Source organism: Homo sapiens, chromosome 8, assembly GCF_000001405.40.
Source record: "Homo sapiens chromosome 8, GRCh38.p14 Primary Assembly".
Taxonomy (NCBI): Eukaryota; Metazoa; Chordata; class Mammalia; order Primates; family Hominidae; genus Homo; species Homo sapiens.
This window is the reverse complement of record NC_000008.11, coordinates 79,179,367-79,199,041: the sequence shown is the minus strand read 5'-3', so window position 1 is coordinate 79,199,041 and position 19,675 is coordinate 79,179,367. Positions and strand designations below refer to the sequence as shown.

The following is a 19,675-nucleotide window of genomic DNA, read 5'->3' as shown; positions in this document are numbered from 1 at the left end:
TGGGGTCAGTGTCCTTATAACAGAGACCCCAGAGAGATCCCTCATCCCTTCTACCATGTGAGGACATAGTCAGACCATGGCTGTCTATGAAGAAGCAGGTTCTCACCCAGATACTGAATGTTCTGGTTCCTTGATCTTTGACTTCAAGCCTTCAGAACTGTGAGAAATAAATTTCTGTTGTTTATAAGCCACCCAGTCTGTGGTATTTTGTTATAGCAGCCCAAACAGACTATCTAGTAGAGTGCAACATTATGTTGAGTGCATATTAATGATATATATTATTTACAGTTAACCCTTGAACAATTAGGGAGTTAAGAGCACTGACTCCCCCAGTAGTCAAAAATCCACATAAAACTTTTGACTCCCCCAAAACTTAACTACTAACAGCTTATTGATGACTGGAAGGTATAGCAATAACAGAGTCAATTAACACATAGTTTGTATGTTGTATTTATTATATATTATATTTTTACAATAAAGAAAGCTAGAGTAAAGAAAATGTTACTAAGAGCATCATATGGAAGAGAAAATATACTTACTATTCGTTAGGTGGAAGTGGATTATCATAAAGGTCTTCATCATCTTTATCTTTTCATTGAATAGTCTGGCTAAGGAAGAGGAGAAAGATAAGGGATTGGTCTTACTGTCTTATAGGTGGCAGAGGCAGAAGAAAATTCACGTGTAAGTGGGCCCACATAGTTTAAATCTATGTTGTTCAAGGGTAAACTGTATATTGTTTATACATATATACATATATTTATAATTATATTTATATATTTATATTTTTATAAGATTATAGACATAAAATTTTATACACATACAACATAAAATGTATATATATAACATACATTATATATACACACATAATGTACACATATATACCCATTATATAAGATAATGGGTACATATGTATAAGTACATATATAAACACACATTATACACACACACACACAGCTTCTAACCAATATATGACTATGTGAGTGCGAGTGCATGCATTGTGCCTAGTGTGCAGGATATCATGAAGAATGCAAAAAAGGTACAAGATGGTCATTGCTCTCAAGTGATTTGCAAACTAGATGGTGAGACAAAAGATGAATGAAAAAAATGGATTGGATAAGGGCAAGAACTAAAGAATTTCCAGGTTGGGAACAGTATAATTCAGGCCAGTGTATGGGATGTATAGAAAACCAGCCAGAGAACAACATAAGTCAGAGAATGAATAGAAGTGAGAGAAATGGCTTGAATCTTTGGTATGGAGCCAGGTACAGGGTGAGGTGGGGCTTAAGAAATGATGGCAAAATTTCATTCATCATTCATTCATCATTCTGCCACAGCCAGAAATACTGGACACACTTACAAAAATGGAATGTAAAGTTCTGAGATTTTTGGCAATAGCAAACACTGGCAAAGCATTGACAATGATAGAAATAATCTGTTACACATACCCTAGGAAATAAGCCATAGCAAAGATGGTTCTTATTTTCCTGCAAATTCATGTCATCATTTCATATCAAAACAATCATTTTCAAGAAAAAAAAGACCATGGAAAAAGAGTCACATTTGGCAACATTATAGTTGCCTTTACTTTTTTCTCTACTCTTATATATTGATTTCCAAATAGAGTTGGCAAATGCAAATTGCAAATATATCGGGGCATTTCATAAACATCCAACACACTTCCAGGACCGCTCAGAACCAAATGCAGAGTCAAAAGTCTGGCAAATAAAATATGAAATCACTCTTAGGACAGATGATAGCCCAAAACTTCTTTATTATTATTATTTGCAGACTTGATGCTCCTACATTGTGGATACTTACTCTGAAGTTAAAGGAAGTCAGTCCACACCTCAGTGTTTGATCCCATCTTAGGCAGATGGGAGCCAGGCTTGTACACTCTGATCCCACAGGAGCAAGGATGTGTGGTAAATAAGAAAATAATTTTAATGGAATTGAACATAAGCCCATCTCAAGCCCTCCTGGCTTGAGAAGGGCAGGCATATCACAAGATCTTACTGACTGTGTTCAGGGACCAGAGGCATTGTTTGGAAAGACAAAGGTATCTACCAACGCCGTGGAATAACAGACAGAACTAATTGTGCTTTACCCTCAGCAACAAACTTTACTTGTTTTTCTTCAGTCTCTTGGCTTAGAAATGGAGTTAATTTGAAGTAAATATTAATAAAATTGAGAATTTATATTTTGGGCATTATTTGATCTGTATTATGTGTATCTGTTTCTACAAATATATAACAACAATTTAAAATAATTCGAAGCACAGACAAGAAATTAGAGGAAATGACATTGCCTTTTTTTCCAAAGGGAGTTCTGTATCATGGAGAGAATTTTAAACAAGATAAAATTCAACGAAAAATCTATCATTTAATACTTAATTTTATTAAAGATTTAGTATCACTCATAGAAATAAAGGATGAAAAATAGGAAACACTATCTTAATGTGATATGGGGTTTATGAACACATGTGGGAGATTGGTTGGGAGTATTTTCCTTAATCATTGAGGCTCATAAATTTATGATTCATTTTACTCATTATTGGACTGCAGTAAAAGGCCTATACTATGTTATTTTTCCCAAAGAAGAAAATACTATTTTCTCACTCATTTATCCTCAGCAAATAATTATTGAGCAATAGGCATTGTATGATTTTGAGAATGTTGCGCAACTTGGCATGTTTTAAGAATTTCTGTTGACTGCCATTAGTTGAAATCCTGCAAAAGTGAGTGACCCTGTAGGCAGACATGATATCAGGCATTTTAGCCCCTGGGAGCCTGTCCAGATTTTCTCCCAGGCCTCTGTCCTAATGTAGACCCCCACACTCTTCCCTATCACCTTGAACACTTGATACTTGGTGTGAAATTTATTATCTTAAGATTTAACATTAACAAAATCACCAGCAATGTATCAATGATAGAATGAGAGATGGTGATTTTATTGGTAGAAAGAAAAGCTGATAGAGTAGCAAAAAAGAAAAAAAAATGTCTGAAGTGTATGACAGTGAGGACAGTTGATAAACAAGGTCTGGATAAACAAAAGGCAAAAGTAATTTTGATATAAGCATAGAGTATCTAATATCAAAAGCCCATGATAGAGATTAAGAAAGAGAAAAAGAGAAAAGAGAGGGAAAGAGAGAGAGAGAGAGATTCTTTTCTTCCTCTTTCTTTAAAAAACTAAATATCAACTCAGATTTCATTAGCATATATTACAATCTCTCCCCAGCAACAGCGTCTCATTGGTCACTCAGTTTCCATGTGATTCCATAAAATCCAGGCCTGCTTTATGCCTGCACACAGAGCCCCACTAGGCCTTTCTTGTTAAGATAAGCGGAAGAAATAGCTTGAGGGGACAGCAGTAGGACCAATTTCTTTTCCCAATTAGGGCCTAATGATCTTCCCTAAGGGTCTACCTTATCAAAAATATCCAGATGGAACAATCTCTTTCCTCCAATTAAGCTCTCATTTTTTTGAAGTAAGATCAATAAAACATTACTGAGATTTTGTTTGCCTAAAATATGAACATGAGCATGTGTAAACTCAAACCTAAATTGCAGAGACACATCTGGAGAAAATGTCTTTGGGCAAAATCTCCCAGGACCTCCTAGAGAGCCAAATTTGATGTCAGGCAGGACTTGATAGAACTGTCTGTCTATTAGGGCTTAATTGTCAGCATGTTGAAAGGAGATTTCTATTTTTAAATTACAGATTTACTTATAAAGAGATTGTATGGCATAAAATAAAAAAATGACACTATAGAAGTTATAAAGGAAACAATTTTAATGTCACACTAAGTTGTTAAATTTTACTGAAAAGAAAAGCAAAATGCTATATCATTCGATAGAAAATTGAAAGATTGCTCAGGATTTTGCACACCTTTTATCCATTCCACATGCCGTAAGAATGCCCAAGCTGCTGCAGCTTTTGCAAAATGCACTGTCCCTGATATTCTGAGTAAGATTTTACTGCCTGGCATGTGTCTATCCTCTTGTCTCTTTGTCATTTACTCTCTCAAGACTGCAGTGTTCACAGAAGGAGTTTAAACTGAACACGTCTTAAGGTAACTGAACAATGTTATGCAAAATCTAACATTTCCTTTTCTTGTGATGCATGATTTCTCCTTGCATAGTGGGTGTCCTTGAATTTGTGTCAAGCAAAGCATTCCTCTTAGTGTCCTATCTCTGTGGAGATGAGAACAAACTACACACTGGCACAGTATTTGTTAAATTTATAAGGAAAAGAAAAACTGTCCACAGCAGGAAGACATCCTCACTCTCACCCATCCTAGTGGAACATCTGAAAAGAGAATTAGGATAGTGCCAAGATGGCGTTAAAAGACATGGATTGTAGCAATTCTATGTGTTGCCAAATTCTCCCCAAAATGTATCTTCCAACAAAAATCTATGCCACTGCAGCCTTAGTATCTGAATATTACTGTTATGAAGATGGGGAATTATTTTTCATCATTGTTCTGGTTTAGAGACAATAAAATATGACATTGTCTCTTTTCCTAGGAACTGACAACAGGGATACGACCTCACAGTGTTTTCACTTTGCTTTGCTTATAACTTTGTTTCCATTTCTCATGGAACAGAGTGATAGGAAGCAGATGTAGTCTGAAAGTTATGTTGACCTCAATTTTCAGTAAGTGGACAAAAATAAAAGATTTTGGAGTCATGGAGGTAGCAGCCATTCCTCATATGTACATGTGGAACTGATTTTAATCCTCACTTTTCTGCTGTGGGTCACAGTTCTGTTGTTTCTATTTGTTCAATAAACATTGATTGAATATTTACTACGCTCCAAGCATGCATGACATTAGCTACTGGGAGTAGGCAGATGAATATTAATTCAGGACCCTTCCCTCTCAGAGTTATTAGGGTCCACAGTTGCACTCATCCATAAATTCATGATGGTAAGAGGTAGAGGAAAACAAGCACAAGGCCCAGAAAAAGGTGCTTACGTCTGGACGGAGGTTTGTAGCAGGAGGCTGTTTGCTCACTTGTAAGAAGCACTGTGGGAAAGGCTGAAGTTGGTGTTAGGATCTATAATCATTCTTCAGAGAATGTGCTCACTGCTACATTCATTACTGACTGAGTGACTACCATGTGTTCTGAGAAAAAAGTTGTAATCTGAGGAATGTGAGCCCCTTTAAGTCATCAGGCCCAGAGAGACGTTAAAACTGTGATAGCAAGTCACTTCCCTCTCCCTTGAGCTAAATAATTAACTCTTGACGTCACTTCCTATGTGAACTCTAGACTAACTGATGCCAAGGAGCCATAAAATGACATACCCTGGATGCCATACTCATACCCCATAGTTCAACAATGTATAGTCAGTCGTAACCACTATTATTTTTGTAAATCAATAAGAAGTCCTGTCAAACAACTTTGTGCCAACCCACTCCTTGTTCCTTGTGGTCTAGGCTGGAGGGGCAGCTGTCATCATGGTAAGTTCTTTTTCAGGTGTTGCAGAAATGCAAAAGGGAAAGTGGAAACCCTGGGGGGTTTCTTTTTTTTTTTTTTTTTTTTTTAGAAGGAGTTTTGCTCTGTCACCAGGCTGGAGTGCAGTGGCGCGATCTCGGCTCACTGCAACCTCCGCCTCCCGGGTTCCAGCTATTCTCCTGCTTCAGCCTTCTGAGTAGCTTGGATTACACGCGCCCACCACCATGCCTGGCTAACTTTTGTATTTTTAGTGGAGATGGGGTTTCACCAAGTTGGCCAGGATGGTCTTCATCTCTTGACCTCGTGATCTGCTCGCCTTGGCCTCCCAAAGTGTTGAGATTACAGGTGTGAGCCACTGCACCCGGCCCCCTGCGGATCCCTTAAGTCTTAGTCTCAGTCCAGTGCTCTTTCATTTCAGCCACGTTCCATTGACTAGAGTCAGTCATGTGGATGAATCCAAATTCAAGGGGCTGTCAGTGCACTATGAATTTTGTGTGAGCATCTACAAAGTTACATGCAAAAGATATGGATAGAGAGGAAAATGAAGAATTGGAGCCAGTATTTCAATTTAACCTCTGAAATTGTCACTTGATGTCTCGAAAGAATCAAGGATTTCAGAAGACAAAGGAAAATTATGGTCAAAGTGAAGATGATGGAAATGAATGTCAAACCTAGAATTTTATATGAGGTTAAACTAATATTGACATATAAGTACAAACTGAAGATGTTATCAGGAATGAAGAATTCATAAAAATTGAACATAGAAACTTCTTGGGAAATAGGCTTTGAAGAAGCATAGTGAAAGAATGAATAAATACAGAAAAACTATAAGGAAAATAGGATAGAATAATACATAAGTAAATTTTATTAATGCTTAAATAACTAAGAATCAAATATGTAAAAACTGCCCACATGATCTACAATTAAAGTCTAAGCCAGTGTTGCGCAATTGACCTCTCTGTGATAAAAATATTTCTTATTTGTACTGTTCAATGTGGAAGTCATTAGTAAAGTGGAACCATTGATCACTTGAAATGTGGTTCGTAAGACTGAGAAACTAAATTTAAAATTTTATTTAATTAAAACAATTTAAAGATTCACATGTGGCTAGGGGCCACATGTGAATTGTTTTGGAAAGCACAAAAGTTATTTGGCAGTGGGAAGTGAAAGTAGCACCAAGAGAATAAATTGAGGTTACGATGTGCTGTGATCTTTGTCTTAATCCTTAATGATGTGAATATTGATACGTTTAATATATTGGTAAGTGAATAGAAATATAGGCACAGGATTTAATAAGTAACCAGAAATGGAAGAGCATGTGATATGGTTGTATGATTGTTGCTTCCAAATCTCATGTTGAAATGTCATCTCCAATATTATAGGTGGGGCCTAGTGGGAAGTATTGGATCATGGGGATGGAACTCTCATGAATGGCTTGGTGTCTTCCCCAAGGTAATAAGTGAGTTCTTGCTCTGTTAGTTCATGTGAGAGCTGGTTGTTTAAAAGTCTGGGATCTCTTCCTGCTCTCTCTTGCTCCTGCTCTCTCTGTGTGACATGCTTGCTCTTTTCCCTTTCTCCATGATTGGAAGCTTCCTGAGGTCCTCACCAGAAGCAGATGCTGGAGCTATGCTTGTGCAGCCTGCACTATCATGAGCCAATTAAACTTCTTTTCTTTATGAATGGCCCAGCCTCGGGTATTTCTTTATAGTAGTGGAAGAATGGACTAACATAGCATGTATAAAATACAAACCCATAGAGGAAAAATCTCCAGTGGAAAAAGAAAGGGAAAGTAGAAGTTAAATAAGTATGATAAGTGGAAAATATGAACTAAGGTGCAGAAGTAAGTCTAATTTTAATAGTGTTTATAATAATTCTGGAGAGGTAAAATGAACAAAAAAATCATATTGGATTAAAAACTATGTGGTCCTCAAAACAAAAGGAAGCATAAACCCTGAACAAAAGGGATGGAAAAGGTTAATATTACTGTAGTCTCTCCATTTAAATAACTATGAAATAGAAAAAGTTATAAGGAAAGATTTTAACTTCTGCCTTCATAAAGAAATATTCCCAATATTCTGAGATTATAGTGAACAAATGATAGATTGCTAGTTTTTCTGGCTTCCCAGCCTCTGAATTCTCTTTCTACATTTGATTGATCTTTCACTGTATGACAGAAAGCCATCCTAATATACAAGCATATAATGCCAGATACTTACTCCTTAATCTCTCCTTGAGTTCTGCCTATTTGTGCACCCACAAATAGGTTTTCTCAGTCTTTGACTGAGAACGTGGGAATGTAAAGAAGCAGGGCCGTGGGATGCATTCTGGAGACAGGTAGCAGAGGTTACATCAAATTTTGAGAGCCAATAGTGGCAGCAGTTCCTGTGGCCACATCCATTCTTTGTCCAGCGGTGGCTGAATCAGCAATACAAGCTTTAGGATCTGTTTCAAGATGCAATGGTGTTTGGGGAGATTTTTCTCATATCCTTAATCTTGTTTCTCTGACTTTTCTTTTTGCTTTTCTCTTTGACTGTTCTCAACACTCCAGCATTAAGATTCTGTAAACTATTCAACATTCTTTAATGTATTTTTGTGCTTAAATCAGTCATGGTTGGCTTGTTTCCTGCAACCAAAACTCCCTATGATATGATAGACTAACAATAACAGAAAATGGTTTTTCTTTCAATATTTCAAGTGGCAGATATGGACTGCCATATTTGCAAAGTAAGAGAAGTACTTGTGTTTTTTATTTCTTGTGTCTGAGTAAGATGCAATGGAGCGTTTCATGAAAACTACATCTATTGTTCTATAATGGACCTATTCTTCAAATGCCAATGTTTTCATTTCTTTTAGAAAAATATATATTCTGGAAGACTTAAAATTCACGTAAGCCTCATCATTGCAGAAAGCAAGGGAAGTCCTGTTTGAGAGAAAGTCCATGTATACCTTGAAAAATGTTGCTTTTCTCAGCAAAGATATTTTCTTGAGCAATTAGTATCCCTTTAAACATCAATGGAAAAACAATTATATTTATATTACATTCCTATATTGCAGAATAAAGCTTAGTAATGGGAACTGTCCTGAGTTAAGTAGTTAGGTCAACTCACTGCATGGAATCTGTAAAACCTGCCATTTCATTTGGAAGGGGTAAAAGCACCATTTAGAGAGGCTGTTCATAGAAGATCAATGAAGATTAAGTAACAGGGCATTTTACAAACCTGCTTTCCTCCTATGCCAGTTTAACAAGGAAAGGAACTGCATAAATTGCTTCACTTTACTAGACCTTTTCAACCTGAAAAAAACAAACACAGAAACAAAATAAAAATGGGATTAGAATGGATTTGAATAATAGCCAAATTCACAATTTCTTTAACTATTGTACACCTATCATAGTATACTCTAGAGCCCTTTAAATTTGGATTCACCGACATGACTGACTTTAGTCCATGCAATGTATTTGAAATGACAGTCTGAGAGTAGGACTTAAGAGACCTCCAGGGTTTCCACTTTTTCCCTTTTGCATTTCTGCCAGCACCAGAGAGAGTTTGCCATGGTTGCTGCTGCCCCTTCAGCTAATAAAAACTATTGATATTATTCAATACTGGTAAAGCTGTGGAGAAACAGTCATTTCATTGGTAGTAGTGCCAAGTTTTTCAATTGTCTCAGATAGTAATTGTTGTGATCTATTAATATATTTATACTATTTCTGGCTAGTAATTTCTTCTCTAGGAATTTATCTTACAGAAACTTTGTCACAGGTGAAAAAATATATATCTTTAATATATATAGTATATAGAATATGACAGAGCTCTTATAAAGAATGAAGTAGGACTATAGGTACTGAAGAATAAAGATATTCATAATATAGTGTTAAATACAAGTGCAGATACAAAACATATGCTATGCTATAATCTAATTTTCTGTATTATTTAATAAAGTTAGATTTTAACTGCTATTTAAAACAATTTATTTTAGGATCAGGGGTACATGTGCAGGTTTGTTATATGGGTAAACTCATGCCATGGGGTTTTGCTATACAGATTATTTTGTCACCCAGGTACTAAGCCTAGTACCCAATAGTTATTTTTTCTGTTCCTCTACCTCCTCCCATCCTCTACCCTCAAGCAGGCCCCAGTGTCTGCTGTTTTCCTTTTTGTGTCCATGTGTTTTCATCACTTAGCTCCCACTTATAAGTGAGAACATGCAGTACTTGGTTTTCTGTTCCTGCATTAGTTTGCTATGTATGATGACCTCCAGCTCCATCCATGTTCCTGCAAAAAACATGCTCTTATTCTGTTTTAATGGTTGCATTATGGCTGTATATGTATCACGTTTTCTTTATCCAGTCTACCATTGATGGGCATTGGGTTGATTTGGGTCTTTGCTGTTGTGAACAGTGCTGCAATTAACAGACACGTGCATGTGTCTTTATGGTGGAATAATCTATATTCCTTTGAGTATATACTCAGTAATGCGATTGTTGGGTCAGATGGTAGTTATGTTTTTAGCTCTTTGAGGAATTGCCACACTGCTTTTTACAGTGGTTGAACTGATTTACACTCTAACTGCTATTTTTTTAATCCTGTGAAAATGACTTGAATGAATTTCTGCCAAATTTGGGGAATATGGCCAATACAAAATTTGGAGGATATGATTTTTAAAAAGCTGTTCAAGATAACCAAAATTACTTTTTAAAAGACTGCTGTTGGTGAAGAGCACTTCAGAGACAGAAGTAGTCACTAATCAGAACAGGTACTCTCATTGATTTGGTATGATATAATTGATGATGTAATATTATTTATAAAAACCAGAAATTGAAAAGAACTCAAATATTCATTTACTGACAAATGAATAAACAAATGTGTTATATACATACAATGGAATGTTATTTGGTATTAAAAATAATCAAATACTGATCTACTTGCTTCCACATGGATAACCCTTGAAAATATTATGCCACCGTGAAAGAAACCAGTTATAAAAGACCATATACTGTATAACTCCACTTATATGAAGTGTCCAGAAGAGTCATATTGATAAGGACAGAGAATAGATTAATGGTTGCCTGGAGAGGGACAGGAATGGGGATATAACTGCTAATGGGGATGGGGTTTCTTGTGATTGTGATAGTTGCACAAGTTTGTGAATACACTTAAAAGCATTGAATTGTACACCCTAAAGGGGGATGTTCATGGTATATGAATTATATCTCAATAAAGCTGTTGAAGAAGAAAAGGAAATATGAGGAGGAGGAGGAAGAGAAGGCAGTGGGTGGTGGGTGATATTGATATCACTATTAGAAAACTGATTGTTCACATAGTTTCTGAGTCAAAGTCAGTTCACAGACCTGCAGCCTGTGATTAAAAGAGAAGCCAGGTTATGTTAAGGAAAACTCCTCAAAAGCTTCAGTAATATTCCACTGATCTTTCTTCAAAGGGTCCTGCCATTTGCTGAATGACGTTTGTCTAGGAAAAGATGAATATCTAGGCTTTTTGAAAATAGTTATATATGATACTAAGTTAATTCTGATTCCCTAAGGAACCCAAACCACATTTAGTCTTATAGAGAGACTGGTGTCTTATAGAGGCTATGTGACAAATGATGCTTTTGCCTTTCTGTTGTCAACACACTGATGATATAATATCAATGTCTCTGCTTAGCTATATCACAATGAAAGCTGGAACACACCAGTAAATTTGGGAAACACTAAAATCCAGACTTCTTTTCTTCCTCCCTCCCTTCCTTCATTTCCTTTTTCTCCCTCTCTCTCCCCTTATCTTTCTCTCTGTGTGTTTCTCTCTCTGTCTCTGTCTCCCTTCTCTTTTTCCTTTTGAGATACAGTTGTTAAGCATTTATCATTATATTGCTGGATAACCATCATCAGTCAGAGGGTATTTATATTTATAAGGCAGAAACAACCATATACATTCATACGCTTGCTCCAGAGTTATGTTAACTCTTCTGCTGTCTTCCTATATTTCACAATGACTTCAATTGTTCCAACATTATATATAACATATAAGGATCCTTAGACCCATTGAGGAGAAGGTGGCAAGAACCTACAGATCAAGTAAGACAAGTACATTCCAGATAGTTTAAGACAGACCCATTGAACATTCAGGCTGCTGGTACTTTGCTGATATCTTTGGAAGTCCAGTGTTTTGAAGCTTATCAGAACATCTTTTCTGAGGTTGAGGACAAGTTTTTGTTCCTACAACTCCTATTATTACTGGCATCACTATGAATGTAGCAAGAAGCTTCTGGGATTTGGAAGTAACATGTATTGCATTTGCGTATATTGATAGGGTTCATTTATTGGCAACGAGAAAAGCTAACAGTTTTGAGGCCCTTGAGTAAGGAAAAGCTCTGCATTATGTTTGAGCACCAGTATAATTACCCATGCTACTTGGACCCTATGATCTAGCATATTAATGGTATTTGTGGTAGATAATGATGATGTTTGGAGTTTCTGGCAAGCTCCATGGCAGATACCTAAGATTATGTAGTAAAGCCATGTTCTTATCAGGTAATTAATGTCCATTGGAAAATACATTTCCCAGTTTCTTTTAGACCCTGGTGGAGATTAAGTGCCTGACCGCAGAATCCCAAAAGATTATATGAGCTGAGCTTCTCATCATAAAGTAGGTATTATCAGATAAGTTTGGTAGGAATATCAGCAATTTATTGTATAATGTAAATATTACATTTGGCATTAAACTAAAGCAGGTCCAGAAGGCATGGGTAAATTGCAGGAACAGATAGTCTAGACTCCTAGGTTACCTCTTTCTGTTGCATGATATTATCCTCTCGGCTCATACTTTTGAGCTTATGGGGGATTACCTATGTCAAAATGTGGAGGAGAAAGGCCTTAGACTTCTTTTACAAATGGGTTGGTGTTATATGTTTACACGAGGAAGAAACTAGTTGTTTCATTACAGCTTAATTCAGGAAGTTAAATCTTTTCAGTAGTTAGAACTGTAGACAATATAGTCAATCAACTACTTTGTATGAAGAGACATAGGGCCTGAGTTATGAATAAACGCTGGGTCCTGGGCAGTACTAATTGCTTCCCTGGTGGGTCACTGAACTGAAAGGCATGCGATAGTAGGGTCTTGTAAAAGGTGTGTAGTGATATATGGGAGAAGTACAAAATACATTAACTACTACCTCTCCCATTAGTGTGAAGGAGAGAGCATTCATTATGGAGGAGAACATCTAACATAATTGGACCAGATGACCTATCCTGTGGATATTAGCTATCCTGTGTCTCTAACCACTTCAGTGTTTCCCCAGTCAGTTCATAACTAGACCAGAGCGGCCATTAAAGTAGAGATGCAGACTGCACATGAGTCTCAGTATAATCGTTCTTTTTCAATTAGGTTAAGCTGGATACTGCCTCTCCTGAGTGCCCAACATGCCAGCAGCAGAAACCAACAAAAACTATTGACTGACATGATGCCATTTCTAGAAATTACAAGCCAGCCACCTGTCTGACTACCACAGAAGAGGCTGAAATTTGGCTTTCTCAGAATAATATGTATGTTGGGCTCAGGTTTGCTTTCTTTGCCAGTGATAGATTTTACAATACCTTACTTATCATCACATTATTTTAGGAAACATTGTCTGAACAGGGGACCAATTTTACATCAACAAAGTATGGCAACGAGATCATGACCATAAAATTCACTGACTTACCAAGTACTTTATCACTTAGAAGTAGCCAGTCTAATAGAATTTTGGGTTGGCTCAGTTGAAGGCTCACATACAGCACCAGCACTAGGACAATCCTCTGTGGAACTGAGGAGCATATCCTCTAGTATACCGTACATGCATTGAAACAATAGCTGCTATGTGGCACAACAGTTACCATAACATTGTGCTCCCCCAGAACTTTGAACCAAAGAGAATAAGTAGGAGTGGCCCCTCTCACCATCACATCTAGAACCTATTCAGACAATTTTTGCTTCCTATGCTCATGATATTAGGCATGACTAGGATGAAGGCTGTGGTTCCAGACAAGAAATATTTTCATCAGGGAATGTAGTAATTCCCACTGAATTGGGTTCTGTGACTAATACTACAGGCCCTGAGGACAGTGAATAAGCAAGCCAAAAAGAAGATAATTCACTGCCTGGAATAATCAATATTGATTACTGAAATGATTTTGGGTTGTTATTCTACCACAGGGATAAGATTGTGTATGTTTGAGACATGGGAATTTCCCTGGGATGATTTTAGTATTACTATGCTGGGTAATAATTGCTAATGGGCATTTGCAGCAATTGCAACCCAACATGGGCAGAAAAAGGAAGGGTTTACCCATACTGAAGATAAAAGTCTAGCCATAAGCAGATTGAAATTGAAACTGGACCTCTTCCTTACACCATATACAAACATCATCTCAAGATGGATTAAAGACTTAAATATAAAACCTAAAACTATAAAAATCCTGGAAGATAACCTAGGAAATAGCATTGTGGACATAAGACCTGGCAAATATTTCATGATAAAGATGCTAAAAGCAATTGCAACAAAAGCAAAAATTGACAAATGGGGCCTAATTAAACCAAAGACCTTCTATACAGCAAAAGAAACTATGAATAGATTAAACAGACAACCTACAGAATTAGAGAAAATATTTGCAAACTGCATCTGACAAAGTTATCTAATATCCGGAATCTATAAAAAGCTTAAACAAATTAACAAGCAAAACACAAGCAACCACATAAAAAATGCAGGCAAAGCTCATGAACACTTTTCAAAAGAAGACACACATGCGCCTAAAAAGCATATAAAAAGATGTTCAACATCACTAATCATTAGAGAAATGCCAATCAAAACCACGATGAGATACCATCCCATACCAGTCCGAATGGCCCCTATTAAAAAGTCAAAAAATAGATGCTGATGAGATTGTGGAGAGAAAAGGAATATTTATATACTGTCAGTGGGAATGTAAATCATTTTAGCCATTGTGGAAAGCAGTTTGGTAATTTCTCAAAGAACGCAAAACAGAATTACCATTTGACCAAGCAATCCCATTATTGGGTATATATCCAAAGGAATATGAATTGTTCTACCATGAAGACACATGTATGCATATGTTCACTGCAGCACTATTCACAATAGCAAGGATGTGGAATCAATGTAAATTCCCATCAACAGTAGACTGCATGCAGAAAATGTGTTACATATACACCATGGAATATTATGTAGTCATAAAAAATCAATAAGATCACATCCTTTGCAGCAACATGGATAGAGTTCAAGGCCATTATCCTAAGTAAAATAAGACTAGAAAACCAAATACCACATGTTTTCACTTATAAGTGGAAGCTGATCATTGAGTACATATGGACACGAAGAAGGAAACAACAGACACATGGGCCTACTTGAAGGTAGAGGATGGGAATAGAGTGAGGATCAAATACTATGCTTATTACCTGGCTGATCAAATAATCTGCACACCAAACCTCCATGGCATGCAATTTACCTATATAAAAAACTTGTACATGTACCCCTAAACCTGAAAGTTTTTTTAAATTTTTTATTTTTTTTAAGATGAAAGCCTGAGCCATTAACCAAACATCTTAGAACAGGAACATTTGGCCTAAGGAAAGGGCAATCTATAATACAATATTTGGTGGAAGAAGCCAATAGATAATGTCAGTTGCAACTTTAGGACCAGCTGCATGAGTGTGTCTGTAATTTGTTTTTAATGCTTTGCTTGCTTTTAGTAATCTAGTTTAGTCTATCCTAGGAAGAATCTACGACGAATTGGACCTGTAGCTTCTTTTTTGAGGATGAAATGAATATATCTTTTTCTCCGCAGTCTTAAAGTAAACGATTCTAACACAAATGAAAAGTGGTAAGTGGAGAAAGAGAGTAGAGGGAGAGGGGGAAGAATGGGAGTGCATATTTAATTTTTTGTTTTCTTTCCAGTTTTTCATTCCCCTTCAACTTTTTATCTAATTAGTTTTTAGAGCAATCTTAGGGTTTCAGTTTGGGCATACCCAGAAGTTGGCACAGCTAGGAAAGAAATGAGATTGAAGAACAAATACTGCCCAGAAATTGCAGCATATGTATTTGCTGCCATTCTGTGGACAGGGAGCTCTGTTCATGTGCCAAGCTAGACATGTTCAAAATGCTAAACTTGGCCAGCAATCAGAATCATTTCTTTGTGGGGTGATTTTTATTATAAGCATGAGCAAAGAAATAAAGATTTGTAAAGTATGGGATGGAGTAGAGGAAAAGTAGAATGGGAAGGGTGTTTAACACCCTTTCACATATCCACTGATAGATGTCAAAGTGTGTAGACTGATGGTGTCATGGCTTGGTGATATTTCCTGAGCACTGTTCACTTCCAGATCATTGAAGTCACATTTTTTCATTCACATTTTCTACGAAGCCATTTATTCAGAGAGAATCTATAAGTTCCAAAAGAGATATGAAAAAGCAATTTTACATTATTAGCATGGCTACTTCCTATATAATAACTCCTGTGTGTGGCTCTAATCCATATATATCTCTATCTCTATCTCTATATCTATGTCTATATCTATATCTATATCTATATCCACATACACATATATACTTATGTATTAGTCCATTCTCACGCTGCTAATAAAGACATACCAGAGACTGGGTAATTAGTTAAAAAAAGAGGTTTAATTGACTCACAGTTCAGCATGGCTGGGGAGGCCTCAGGAAAATTACAGTCATGGCAGAAGGGATAACAAACAAGTCCTTCTTCACATGGTGGCAGGAAGGAGAAGTGCTGTGCGAAAGAAGAAAAGGCCCCTTATGAAACCATCAGATGTTGTGAGAACTCACTCACTATAACAAGTAAAGCATGAGGGTAACCACTCCCAAGATTTCATTACCTCCAACTGGGTCCATTCCATGACACATAGGGATTATAGGAGCTACAATTCAAGATGAGATTTGGGTGGGGACACAGCCAAAGCATATCATTCTGCCCCTGGCCCCTCCCAAATCTCACGTCCTCACATTTCAAAACACAATCATGCCTTCCCAACAGTCCCTCAACGTCTTAACTCATATTGGTATTAACTCAAAAGCCCAAGTCCAAAGTCTCATCTAAGACAAAGCAAGTCCCTTCTGCCTATGAGCCTGTAAAAATCAAAAGCAAGCTAGTTACTTCCTAGATACAATGGATATGCAGGCATTGCATAAATACATTCATTCCAAATGGGAGAAATTGGCCAAAACAAAGGGGCCGCAGGCCCCATGAAAGTCCAAAATCCAAAATATGATCAAGAAATAATAAAGGATGTGAAAAGTTAATTTTATTTTCTATACAATGCTATCCTACCTCTGTAGTATCATCAACAAATTGTCAGTACAAGGAATATAGGAATCATGAAAGCACACATTGATTAGGTAAACAATCACTCATTTTTCTGAATTTAAAATTGTAATGTTATGCAGGGCTGCAGTGATTGGTGTTCAGTGTAAATGTGGGAACACAAATCACTTAAGTGGTGAAAGAAAGTGATTATTTCAAACCAAGACCCAGAGTTAACAGGTCAGAAAGTCATTTGCTTTGTATCTAAGGAGAACAGACAGGTAATAATGAGGGCAGTGGCACCCCATTGATATGGTTTGGTTGTGTCTGCTTCCAAATCTCATCTTGAATTTTAGCTCCCATAATTCCTACTTGTCATGGGAGGAACCTGGTGGGAGGTAACTGAATCAAGGGGCCACGTTTTTTCCATGCTGTTATCGTGATAGTAAATCAGTCTCACAAGATTTGATGGTTTTATAAAGGGCACACACTCTCTTGCCTACTGACATGTAAAACATGCCTTTCCTCCTCCTTCACCTTCACTCATAGATTGTGAGACTTCCCCGGCCATGTGTAACTGTGAGTCCATTAAGCCTCATTTTCTTTATTAATTACCCAGTCTTGGGTATTTCTTCATAGCAGTATGAAAATGGACTAATACAGTACTTTGGTACTGGGAGAGTGGGGGTACTGCTATTAAGATAACCGAAAATGTGAAAGCGACCTCAGAACTGGGTAACAGGTAGAGGTTGGAACAGTTTGGAGGGCTCTGAAGAAGGCAAGATGATATGGGAAAGTTTGGAACTTCCTAGAGACTTATTGAATGGTTTTGATCAAAATACTGATAGTAATATGCTGATAGTAATAAAGTCCAGGCTGGGTCCCAGATGGAGAGGAGGAGCTAATCTGGAACTGGAGCAAAGGTAATTCTTGCTATGCTTCAGCAACAAAAACTGGCAGTGTTTGGCCCCTGCCCTAGAGATCTGTGGAATTTTGAACTTGAGAGAGATGATTTAGAGTATCTAGTGAAAGAAATTTCTAAGCATCAAAGCATTCAAGGGGTGACCTGAGTGCTCTTTAAAGCATTCAATTTTTTTAAATTATACTTTAAGTTCTAGGGTACAGGTGCACAACATGCAGGTTTGTTACATATGTATACATGTGCCATGTTGGTGTGCTGCACCCATTAACTCATCATTTACATTAGGTATATCTCCTAATGCTATCCCTCCCCCCTCCCCCCACCCCACGACAGTCCCTGGTGTGTGCTGTTCTCCTTCCTGTGTCCAAGTGTTCTCATTGTTCAATTCCCACCTATGAGTGAGAACATGCGGTGTTTGGTTTTTTGTCCTTGTGATAGTTTGCTGAGAATGATGGTTTCCAGCTTCATCCATGTCCCTACAAAGGACATGAACTCATCCTTTTTTATGGCTGCATAGTATTTTATTCATTCACTGAGACATGGTTTGGAATTTGAACTTATGTTTAAAAGGAAAGCAGAGCATAAAGGTTCAGTAAATTTCCAGCCTGACAGTGTGGTAGAAAAGAAAAACCCATTCTCTGAAAAGAAATTTAAGCTGGCTACAGAAATTTGCATAAGTAACAAAGTTCCAAATGTTAATTGTCAAGAAAATGGGGAAAATATCTCTAGGGCATGTCAAAGGTCTTCAGAGAAGCCACTCCCATCACAGGTATGGAGACCTAGGAGGAAAAAATGGTTTAATGGGCTAGATCCAGGGCCTTGCTGCTTTGTGCAGTCTCAGGATTTGGTGTTCTGTGTCTCAGCTGTGGCTTAAAGGGGTCTAATATACCGCTCAGGCTGTTGCTTCAGATGGTTCAAGTCCCAGGCTCCTAGTGGCTTTCACATGGTGTTAGGCCTGCAGGTGCACAGAAGTCAAGAATTGACCTTTGGAAACCTCTGCCTAGATTTCAGAGGATGTATGGAAACACCTGGATGTCCAGGCAGAGGCTTGCTGCTGGGGTGGAGCCCTCATGGAGAACCTCTGCTAGAGTAGTGCTGAAGGGAAATGTGGGGTGAGAACCTTCACACAGTGTCCCCACTGGGGCACTGCATAGTGGAGCTGTGAGAAGACAGCCACCATTATTCATACTCCAAAATGATAGACCCACTGACAGCTTGCACTTTGTGCCTGCAAAAGCCACAGACACTTAATGCCAGCCCATGATATCAACCAGGAGGGGAGCTGTACACTGCGAAGCCACAGGAGTGGAGCTGCCCAAGGTCATGGGGATCCACCTCTTGCATCAGCATGACCTGGATGTGAGACATGGAGTCAAAGGAGATCATTTTGGAGCCTTAATATTTGACTTCCCCACTGGATTTTGGACTTTCATGGGGCCTGTAACCCCTTTGTTTTGGCCAAATTTCACCCAAATCTCATCTTGAATTGTAGCTTCCATAATTCCCACATGTCATGGAAGGGTCCTGGTTGGAAGTAATTGAATCAGGGGGCAGGTTTTTCCTATGTTGTTCTCACGATAGTGAATATATCTCACAAGATTTGATGGTTTTATAAAGGGAAGTTCCCATGTATATGTGCTCTTGCCTGCTGCCATGTAAGACATACCTTTTCTTCTCCTTCACTTTCTGCCATGATTTTGATGCCTTCTCAGCCATTCTGAAATGTGAGTCCATTAAACATCTTTTTCTTTATAAATTACATGGTCTCAGGCATGTCTTCACAGCAGTATGAAAATGGACTAGTACACCCATAAAAGTATCCTGTCACTGTATTCCATAAAAAGAGCTCTTTGGCTTTTGGCCTTTGGCTTCCTCCAAAATGTTATGTGAATGTGGCCAGAGTGGAAATTTTGTTGTGGGAGGGAGTAGCCAGAATGTCATCATTGAAACTTCTCTAATAAAACTGAGTTCAACAGATACTAATTGCATTTTT

General features: G+C 37.6%; 1 long non-coding RNA gene across 1 annotated transcript; it reads right to left on the bottom strand.

The window, feature by feature from the left end:
* Positions 1-539: 539 nt before the first annotated feature.
* Positions 540-16,163, bottom strand: LOC107986892 (uncharacterized). Its single transcript, XR_001745720.1, has 3 exons — positions 16,133-16,163; positions 8,671-8,744; positions 540-608 (listed from the first exon to the last, which is right to left on the bottom strand). It is a non-coding gene; the product is annotated as an uncharacterized LOC107986892 (long non-coding RNA).
* Positions 16,164-19,675: the final 3,512 nt, after the last annotated feature.